Genomic DNA, 10,717 nt, shown 5'->3' with positions numbered 1-10,717 from the left:
GGAAGTTTAGGACTAAAGGAAAGTGAAAAATGGATAACTGACATCCCTATAGATGATTTTATACAATAAAGTTAGATGATGCATAAGAAATCCCACTAGACTATCTAACCTACTTGAGGGCAGGGACAAAGTTTTACTCATTTTTCAATTATCTACCAGTATCTAATATGATTCTTAACACACAAAGTGAGTCTTCTACACATTGCAGTTCAACAGGAATTATCTCAACTGTATCTCATGTTCAGTAATTCCAGAGCCAAGCAAACTGAGACCCGAGATAGAATTTCTGAGATTGTCTTTAGTTTTGGGAAATAGTAGATACTCTGATTGATAACAATGGAATTTCAGTTACTGAAAAGTAACAGTTAAAAGGATTCAGGAAAGGTATCACAGCTGGCTTCCACACCATATTATACCAGGAGGCCTAGTGACTAGCTCTGGAAAGCGTATAGCATTGGATGGCTGAGGGGAATTAAGAAATTCAAGTAGCAGTCAATTAAAAAAAAAAAGATGTTGACATAGCATGGTGGCTCACGCCTGTAATCCCAGCACTTTGGGAGGCAGAGGCAAGATGGTGGCTCAAGGCTAAGAGTTTCAGAGCAGCTTGGGCAACAGAGTGAGGCTCTGTTTCAACAACAACACAAAATTTTAAATAGCCAGGTGTGGTAGTGTGCCTGTAGTCCCAGCTACTCAGGAGGCTTGCTTGAGCCTAGGAGTTTGAGGTTACAGAGTGCTATGATTGCACCACTGCACTCCAGACTGGGCAACAGAGCAGAACCCTTTTCCTAAAATAAAAAAAAACAATGGCAAATACACATGCTTATTTATTATATATCAACAGCACCTTTCATTAATACTAGCACACGTTCCATAGATATTTGGTACAAGTACAATATATCTCCACTCATGGCATTCTGGTAAAGTGATGGTCCATGTTAAAAATAGCTCATTATCATGGGTAAAGGGACTTACTTAAGGCTTTATTTCATAGAAATCAGGCATGGCTATCAAGAAGAACAGAAATGCCTGGAAAACAGACTCCAGTGGGTCACTTCTTGGAAAGAAAGTTTAATCAGTATTGACAAAAAAGGGGGAACATGTTCCAGGACTATTTGTGTTATTGAAAGCAAGGAATATAGTGATTGAATTAAAAGGGGAGAAATAAAAGCAGATATTGCATTGCTTCCCAGTGGAAATACTGTTTGAATCATGTGGTAGGCTGATCGGACTCTATTCTGGGGTTTCAGTTTTCTGGACGTGTTTCTTTTTCGTATCCTAGGCTGATTCATGATAGTTTTGAATGATAGTTATTTTTCAATTTTTCCTTTGATCCCCGAAGACTCTTATTTGTGTCAATCTTTATTTAGCCTGGCCATCAATTAGTGTAAAACAAGGGGAGATGATGTGGATTCAATAAGGTAAGAAACTGACTAGCCAGCGTCACACACAAAGTTATCAAACCTGGTTCTTAGAATCCACGTTCTCATGTCTGGCTCTTTGTTCAAAGGGAAAAAAAAATCAATAGGATGGCTGGAGGGAGACATTTCCCTATCCTCATTGAAGACTGATGAGCTGTCAGTCTATTACGTGGTATCCTGTTGAGGAACATGTGAACAATTGGAAGAGTTTATCTGATGACTGACCAGTTGTGAAATTTAGCACCCATTAATTGATTCTTAATGTGAGAGGATTAACTTGGGAATTGTGAGTTTCTACGTGTGGAAAGGAAAACATATTCCCTTTACTCAGTTACTGTGCAAAAATCAATAACCCCAATTTGCATGTAAGTAAGAAACAATATGTCCCTTGCTCAAAAAAATTAACATCCTTCTAGCTCTTCCTTTCTTCTCCTTACAACTTTGATATACTTCTTCGTGTGTGTGTGTGTGTGTGTGTGTGTGTGTGTGTGTGTGTGTGTGTGAATAGCCTTCCTAAAGGCCTGGGCTTTTTCTAAATGTATGCCTTTAATTTTTATCCAAAAACTTCTCTTACAGCAACATGTCTTGTCTATTCTATTCCAGCACAAGGCAGATGCACAGCAAATGTGAGCTGACTCTAGTCCTTCTTCTGAAAACAGCCATGGGAAATTTAGGCAAAGAATGTGTTGTCTTTGCTAATACTGCTCTTTAAGCCCCAGACATAGCTAAACTCTTAGCTAATTACCCCCTGGGTCCCAGGCTTTCACTGGGGCCTTTTAAAATACACAAAACCAAAGTGACGGCAGGAGGCCATTAGCACTACATAATTCAAGCAAACAATAAATGTGTTTATTCTGCCTGGCTACTGACCACCTGCCTTCCCATCCCGCCAGGCAGGTATCTATATATACGATTTCCTTTTTCCCAGTCCTGCAGAGAATGAGCCTCTCCTTTGGGCCTCATCATTTACAAAAGAAGCTTGGGCCCCTGACAGCATGCATCTCCTCTTATTTCAGCTGCTGGTACTCCTGCCTCTAGGAAAGACCACACGGCACCAGGATGGCCGCCAGAATCAGAGTTCTCTTTCCCCCGTACTCCTGCCAAGGAATCAAAGAGAGCTTCCCACAGGCAACCATGAGGAAGCTGAGGAGAAGCCAGATCTGTTTGTCGCAGTGCCACACCTTGTAGCCACCAGCCCTGCAGGGGAAGGCCAGAGGCAGAGAGAGAAGATGCTGTCCAGATTTGGCAGGTTCTGGAAGAAGCCTGAGAGAGAAATGCATCCATCCAGGGACTCAGATAGTGAGCCCTTCCCACCTGGGACCCAGTCCCTCATCCAGCCGATAGATGGAATGAAAATGGAGAAATCTCCTCTTCGGGAAGAAGCCAAGAAATTCTGGCACCACTTCATGTTCAGAAAAACTCCGGCTTCTCAGGGGGTCATCTTGCCCATCAAAAGCCATGAAGTACATTGGGAGACCTGCAGGACAGTGCCCTTCAGCCAGGTATGTGTTCTGGGGGGAGAGCAGGTAAGAGTTTGCAGGTGGTAGTGGACAGCTGGGATGGATGGAGAGTAGGGGAAAAGGCTGTCAGGAGCCTGACTCTAGCTTAACTACAGATTTGGTCCTTGGGCATTCATCATAGGATTTGGCAAAGATTAAGTTTCCTTCTGGCCTTTCCATTTTTTCTTGGCATTGTGGAAATGCTGCAAGAATGATATGATGATACTGTCAATATCAGTAATCATTCATTCACACTGAAGACACAGAGCTCTGTTTTATTTATTTATTTTTGCATTGGAGGTGATCTACTCAGAGATATAAGTCAGACTGTACCCTCAGTTAGGAAACTGAGAATTTAGAGTAATCACCAGAACTCCTCTGTAGCTATCTTTCTGCACTCTATTAATATGTGGATGAGCAGGTCAACTCCATTTGTTGATAAAGTGGGGTGCATTGGACTCCTTCCCAAATACTCTCATATCCATTTACGATGGTCTTAATCCCCATAGTCCATACTTAATTACTTTATAGGTTTATGAGGGACTTCTTTAATAGCTTGCTAAAGCTATCCCACAACCTCAAAGTACGTTGAGGTTCTCAGGCAAAAGTTGTCATATCATTTCTAGTATTATGATAGCAAAAAAGTGATTTTCTTTCACTTATTTTCTCATATGAGCTTTTTAAAAAATCAATCTTGATGTGAGATCATATCTCCTCCCCTTAGAAGTACCTTTCTCCTGATTCATGTTGTGTTGGCTGATTTGTAGTTATTATGATCAATTCCATGCTATTAAGACAAAGGGACATCCTACTGTCTACTTCCTCTGGCAATATCTACATTCCAAATGTTAAATTAAAATTGAGAACTTGCATTAGGTCCTTAAACATGAAGATATTGAACCAAAAACATGCAGGGTAGAGTAAAATTTTATAGTCGAGTAATGCTACCCAATTAAGCAAGCAATAGAATAGGGCAATTGACTGTTCAAGGCAGTTAAGTATTCTGCCTGAAAAGGCAAGGATATGTAGCAATGGCAAGTCAATTATCAAATAATAATGACTACTCTGTTGGCCATGTGCAATTAGAAAATTACCCCTAAGAATCAGGCAATCAAATTTCTTTTGAAATTCTTCTTTTGAATTCTATTGCTAATTAAATTAAAACTAAGATGTTTGACTCTTACATATTTTGAAAGGCATATAAAGCTAGGTGCTTGGAGTTATGAGAGGTAAAGGTGATGTAATATACAATGATTTGCAGGCATATGCATTGTAACTCTGCTTGCATACAACTTCATAGACTTGAATGTACTACAGGTCTTGCAGAATAGGATAGAATTAAACCTAGAATGTTCTGATCTATTCTACGATCAATGTAACAAATATGTATTGGGAGCCTACTATGCACAAAGCCCTGTGAGGAATAAAAAAGTAAGGCACATTACTTATGTAAGATAATTACCATTAGAATTTTTCAATCGCTCACATCCAATTAGACAAAATTGCTTAAGGTTTTGCACGAATAATGTAGAGTAAAATATTTTTTATGTTAACTTAGGGATTCCCTAAAGGCTGTTTAATAATTTACTCAATAAAGAAAATTTAATTGAGGTGGTTCTGTGCCCTTATAGATACCATCACTTGCATATTGCAAATTGTATCCAAAATTGGAAAGCTTTGAAATTTTTAAATTATCCTCAGATTTACAGTCCATAGCTTCTGCATTATGTGTGTTAAAGAAATAATTCAAAATAACGTAATGGAAATGTGTTTGCTTTTTAGACTATAACCCACGAAGGCTGTGAAAAAGTAGTTGTTCAGAACAACCTTTGCTTTGGGAAATGCGGGTCTGTTCATTTTCCTGGAGCCGCGCAGCACTCCCATACCTCCTGCTCTCACTGTTTGCCTGCCAAGTTCACCACGATGCACTTGCCACTGAACTGCACTGAACTTTCCTCCGTGATCAAGGTGGTGATGCTGGTGGAGGAGTGCCAGTGCAAGGTGAAGACGGAGCATGAAGATGGACACATCCTACATGCTGGCTCCCAGGATTCCTTTATCCCAGGAGTTTCAGCTTGAAGAGCTATCCCACTATTACCTTTGAAAAGCAAAACCACAACAGCAAAGATGCTGATTATTCAGTCTGAAAATGTTAAGTGGGTACATAACATTTTCAGGGAAAGGTGACTTGAAACGTAGTTTTAAATTAGAACGATAGAGGAAATGATATTAGTCTAGTTATTGGTACACGTTTGAGACCTTGTCTCAGCTCTGCCACTAACTAGCCGTAGAATGTTAAGTTGTAAAACCTTTCTCCATCTAAAGATTTTCATCTATAAATGACGGACCCGACCTAGATGATTGCTAAAATCCTTTCCACTACTAATATTCCGTGATGCATTTTCTCCAAGTTTGGGTAAAAGCCCTCCATCTAAAGAAGGAAAAGAAATAAGCGAGACCATAAAAATGGGCTTCTTTAATGTGTGTCAAATCACCAGCAAGCAAAGAAGCAAGATAGAGAGGGAGGAAGGAAGGAAGGAAGGAAGGAAAGAAGGAAGGAAGGAAGGAAGGAAGGAAGGAAGGAAGGAAGGAAGGAAGGAAGGAAGGCAGGCAGGCAGGCAGGCAGGCAGGCAGGCAGGCACGCAGGCAGGCAGGGAGGCAGGCTACGTGAAATATTTGTAGGAAAGATTCTCATACTTATAGTTACTTTTGCAACCCAAACAGTGTTTTACTTGACTTCTATCTGATGATTAAGTCTTTCCACAGATGTAAGGAGTAACTTGCTTGGTTGCCTCCTTTTTAACAATACTCCTCATATAAAGTACTTAATGTCAGGTCTCTGACTTTGAAGAAGGAACAGTGATGTTAATTTTAGTAGTTTATATAGGGAAGAGGAACAATCACTGGTAGCCAAACAAGTACCTATATTATGAGGAAGGAAAAATACATGACTACTACCAGGTTTAGAGATCAATCCAGAGATGCTAATGAAAGTAACCCCCAAAAATTCAATCTTCAGGCAAAATTATTTACTCACATGCATTTTGAATTAGGTAGTAAGGTTTCTATGTTTGAATGACTGTTTTTTGCTATTTAATAAAACTTTGTATTATAAATTTTATTCAGCAAGTACCAAAATTACAGGTTCTGAAAATATTCTGGATATTTTAATGCATTAAATTTTAGTATATGAAGCATTCTGAAAAATGTTCTTATATTTTTCCCTTACTTGTTTTGTCTCATAATTTAAAGGTACTATCAGGAGATAACCTAGCTGGAAGCATTTCTGGAATGTCTTCATAGACTTATGACACTGGACCAAGGGTTTCTTCTGATCTGTAAGCAGCCTTCTGTTTAAGTCTCTCAATCACCTCTCTCCTGTCTGTGTTAATTTTTACACATATATGGTACAGAACTGCCTTTTCCCAGCCAGACTGCTTTTTCTATTAAGTTATTCAAATTTTTGTTCCTAAAAATTATTTTAATAATTAGGTTTCTTTTACTTTTAGTGCACACACATACACACATTTCCCAGAATAACTGTTTTTTTTAAATAAATCAATTTATATTTTAATTCTATTCCTCTTTAATCACACCATCTAACATGACATTCCAAAGAAGCAAAGGCATTTATATTTAGTGTATATTTTGTAACACATCAACATGAATGTGAGTTACACAGATGCACACATGGCATTTACATTGGAATATATTATCATACCCTTTGGTGGTCAAAGGCAACCTAGCTGGCCAAGATATGCTCATAAGGATAAAATTGTTAAGCATTAATGATATCTCAGCTGGTCAATATATTTTGGTGCCAAAAGCTATCAAACAGCTGTCATGATTGCAATCGCCTAACCCTGATTATGAAAACCTATCTCTGCCAATTGGACTGTCCTTCTCCTCCTTACATGCTTGTAAATCCGTTTCATCCATCCTTGCAAATAGACTCTCAAGCCCAAACCCCAAACAATGATCTGTTTTATTCAAATTTTGGTCTGCGCTTCCCTTGCATGTAAATTCTAGATGGGATAGTTGATAGTGGTATCAAACCTTACATTTATAGAATAATTGCATGAAATTCAACAAAATTGCTCATATTCAATCATTTTTACTTACAAAAAAGGCAATTTACAAAGGTTGAACATAATATGTAAGACTGTAAGAAACCAAGAGGAAAAACACAAATATTGAACATTTATTAAGTGCCAGATACTGTGCTGTCTTTTACAAGAAGTTAACAATTTAATCCTCACAAAAACTATATAAAGTAGGTTATCACTGTATTTTATGGGTAAGAAAAGCAAGCCTTTAAAAGTTTCAGAATTTGCCTAAGAGCATTTGGAGAATATTTTCTATTTTGGATTAAAATATTTGCTCATTTGTTCTTTGTCAGTTTATATTGAACTCTTCCAGGTCTCTTGCCTATAGGCTTCAAAGCAAATTTCTTTTTACCACTTACCTAGCTCTCCTATCTGAAGGATTTTGATGTTATATCTCAAAAGAGAAATCATCTCTAGGTCAGGTTATCGGCCAAATATTTCCTTGACTCCGTTGGTCCTCATGGCACACCTCTTCATAAATCCTGGTCTCATTTTCCTCTCATATAAAATAAGGCTGGTAATAATTACCTCAAAATTATTGTGATGATCAAGTGTACATAACAACACTTCAGAGAACTTTAGATCCTGTAAAACTACAAGGGATTAATTTATTCTTTTCCGTTCAGACCTTCTATTTTTTAAATTTGTTTTGAGAAATTGAAAACACACGGAAAAGCGCAAATAATAATATAACACTGAAATTCATATAAACGAAATAAATAGTTACTATTTTGTCATCTTTTGCTTCTAGTCTTCTTTTAAATAAGCCATTTCAGATATAAGTAAAGTTCCTTCTGACCACAATACTGAGTCTTATTCCCTAAGCTTTTGCCTACAAAACACCACACCACTAAAAATTCCTGCTTATACTTTCAATTCCCTTCTATATTTTTGCTAATTTATATATACTTCCATAAACAATATGTAGTATTATTTTTTATATGCACTACTTTAGTCAGCATGTATTTATTTGTCCATCAACTATGTACGAGATACAGCTCTAGGTGCCATGAATACAAAAAGGGAACAAGTCAGACAAGATCACTGCTCCTATAGAGCTTACATTCTATTGGGGGAGATATGTAATTTGAAAATCAATCAATTCATCAATCAATCAATTCAAAAAGAAAAATATCAGATGGCTATAAGTGGTATGCAAATAATTAAAATATGCTAGAGATTGATTAGATTAAGTGGTCTCTGAGACGGTGACATTAAAGCTATGTGTTTTGAATTATGTACATGATATTCTCTATTAATTGTTCTATAATGGCATTTTTCACCACACATAATTCTTGTTTGTTTTTACAAAGTTTTGAGAGGTTTTTTTCCCATCTATATTTTATCTCCATTCTAGAAATTAAGTATTCCTTACAGAGAGTAGCTAACCTAGCTTTGATTTTCTCAATCTGCGCAATTTCTTTGACCTGTCAGTTTAATTCCTAAATAAGACTTTTATTTATCCTCTGAATTTTTACAGATAATTTAATTTATTCTATGCAAGACACTGTGCTAAGAACCTTGGGATATTCCAAGATAAATAAGACACATTTCCTGCCACGCTGGAGCTTACAATGTAGTAGCAGAGATAATGTATGCAAATTTTAAGGCAATGATAATAGTACATTTATAAGGACTACTAATTATTGAGTTCTTACTATGTGCTCAGATGCTTTATATTTGTTATCTCCTAGAAGTGGATATTTTCTACTCATTTTTTTTGACAAGGAGAATGAGAGTTGGAGGGGTTCATTCATTCAGTCCACAAATAGTTATGAATGTCTATGATGAGCCTGGTCACTGTGCTGGGGACAAAGAATATGAATAAATGAGTAGAGGATTATCTAAATATAATCCCTGACTTTAAGAATCCTACTGTCCAGGAACAAGTAACTGCATGTTTTTGCTACTTGTTTACTCTTCCATATATTCTAGAATGATGATCTCTCCATCACACCCTACCCCCAGTCTCAAACACCACTATCCCAGTGAAGCCTTCTTTAACCCTCAGACAAGTTTGGGTTCACGTCTAACATGATTTCATGACACTGAAACCTTTGTTTTATAGCACTCATATCAGCTTGTAATTATATCTTTATTCTGGCCATCATTAATTAAATTATAAGGTCCATGAAAACAGGTATCATATTGCAGGAGGTTTCTTTCAGGATTGTAATCAGTGTCTGGAAGGGGCCAGCACACAGTAGGTACTCAATAAATATTTTTTGTCTGTATGAAAGAAACAATATCAATAGGTATCATCTACTGAGGTTATGTCATGTGTCAGGCACTGTGCCAAACACTTTCTATACATCATTTTATTTAATCCTCATGAAACCTTATGAGGAATATTTATAGATAAAGATGCTAAGGCTCATATAAATAAACTTTCCAAAGTATCACTGTTAGGGAATAGGAGAAGCTGAATGACTCCAAAGCCTAAGCTCTTTCTTACTAAGTTATATTGTCTCAAGATAGCAAATATGGAAATATATATATAATATAAATATTTATGTATACATATGTATGCAAATATACGCACATATAAATATAGACACGCATATAGATACATACAAATCAAAGTTAAAGACCTAATACTAATCCATCCCCTCTCTGATTCCCAGAGCCCATTATTCATGCCTGTCTTACGGCACCTATAACAGTGAGGATGTTTCCAACTCCAGTAGCAGGAAATACAGCTCGGAATGTATTAAATTAAGAAGGAATGTACTATGTCTCTAACAAGAAGTCTGGAAGGCAGCCAGTTCCTTAGGTGGTCAAGTCAGCAGCTCTACCATTCCATCAAGGACTCGGGTTCCTTTCATCTTTCTGCTCTCTTACTTTCAGTGTGTCTTCTACAAGCTAAAACTCCTCTCAGTCACAACATGGCTACTGCAGTTCCAGGCATCATGCTTCACTATTCACACACGAATGTCTCTCCCACTTCCATCCCTTTAAAAAAGCTAAATAAAATCAGTTATGTCTAGGATAATTGAGCAGTGGAACAAAATCAAGGAATAAAGAGCAAATGGCTGTTAGGCCACAGCTGTTGCCACTTTTTTATTAATTAATTAAGTATTATTATTATTTTTATTATTATTTGAGATGGAGTCTCACTCCGTCTCCCAGTCTGGAGTGCAGTGGCACAATCTCGGCGCACTGCAACCTCCACCTCCTGGGTTCAAGTGATTCTGCCACCTCAGCCTCCCAAGTAGCTGGGATTACAGGGGTGCGCCACCATGCCTGGTTAATTTTTGTATTTTTAGTAGAGACAGTGTTTCACCATGTTGGCCAGGCTGCTCTCGAACTCCTGACCTCAAGTGATCCGTCCACCTTAGCCTCCCAAAGTGCTGGGATCACAAGCGTGAGGAACTGCACTCGGCCCACTTTTTAATTTATCATTATTTATTTACCTGTCTTATCTTTCCTTCTAGATTATAAACTCCTTAATGGCAAGTCTTTATATAATAACTTCTGTATACCTTAACAAAGTTTACATCTTTGTTACCCTTCTGTTCCTAATATATGCTGTATGTTGTATGCTTTATATTTACATACATACATAAACATATACACATATACATAAAACATGATTTTAATGTTTTATAAAGGGGTAAATGCTCAATACATGTAAGCTAAATGGACGAATTTTGGGAGACACTCTTAGAAGGATGGGTTAGTGTACATAGTGTGG

At 37.4% G+C, this 10,717-nt stretch overlaps 1 protein-coding gene across 2 annotated transcripts, besides 2 other annotated features; it reads left to right on the top strand.

Annotated features, from left to right (window-relative positions):
- Positions 1,328-2,265: an enhancer, noted in NCBI's record as "OCT4-NANOG-H3K27ac hESC enhancer chr9:14722819-14723756 (GRCh37/hg19 assembly coordinates)". NCBI's record gives its function as "activates a minimal SCP1, AML or CMV promoter by ChIP-STARR-seq in naive and primed H9 embryonic stem cells {active_cell/tissue: H9 hESC(naive and primed)}" and the evidence as "EXISTENCE:reporter gene assay evidence [ECO:0000049][PMID:30033119]".
- Positions 2,266-3,205: an enhancer, noted in NCBI's record as "OCT4-NANOG-H3K27ac hESC enhancer chr9:14721879-14722818 (GRCh37/hg19 assembly coordinates)". NCBI's record gives its function as "activates a minimal SCP1, AML or CMV promoter by ChIP-STARR-seq in naive and primed H9 embryonic stem cells {active_cell/tissue: H9 hESC(naive and primed)}" and the evidence as "EXISTENCE:reporter gene assay evidence [ECO:0000049][PMID:30033119]".
- CER1 (cerberus 1, DAN family BMP antagonist) lies at positions 2,353-7,760 on the top strand. Of its 2 annotated transcripts, XR_001746419.2 has the most exons (3): positions 2,353-2,920; positions 4,700-5,100; positions 6,170-7,760. XR_001746419.2 is itself a non-coding variant. In NM_005454.3 (2 exons), the coding sequence occupies exons 1-2, from the start codon at positions 2,414-2,416 to the stop codon at positions 4,994-4,996; spliced, it is 804 nt and encodes a 267-aa protein (NP_005445.1). In that variant the 5' UTR covers positions 2,353-2,413; the 3' UTR covers positions 4,997-5,362. The 2 variants fall into 2 exon arrangements, 1 of the variants encoding a protein (NP_005445.1); NM_005454.3 differs by lacking the exon at positions 6,170-7,760 and having other exon boundaries at positions 4,700-5,362.
- The last annotated feature ends 2,957 nt before the right edge of the window (positions 7,761-10,717 follow it).

The sequence above is a fragment of the Homo sapiens genome, chromosome 9, assembly GCF_000001405.40.
Source record: "Homo sapiens chromosome 9, GRCh38.p14 Primary Assembly".
In the NCBI taxonomy this organism is placed as follows: domain Eukaryota; kingdom Metazoa; phylum Chordata; class Mammalia; order Primates; family Hominidae; genus Homo; species Homo sapiens.
The sequence above is the reverse complement of the archived record's forward strand: the minus strand, read 5'-3'. Positions and strand labels throughout refer to the sequence as shown.

What these genes read in the sequence shown, in the direction of transcription:
- CER1 (NM_005454.3), top strand. Translation starts at nt 2,414, where the DNA reads ATGCATCTCCTCTTATTTCAGCTGCTGGTACTCCTGCCTCTAGGAAAG. An exon ending in GGACAGTGCCCTTCAGCCAG is followed by an intron (nt 2,921 to 4,699) that starts GTATGTGTTCTG and finishes TTTGCTTTTTAG; the next exon opens with ACTATAACCCACGAAGGCTG.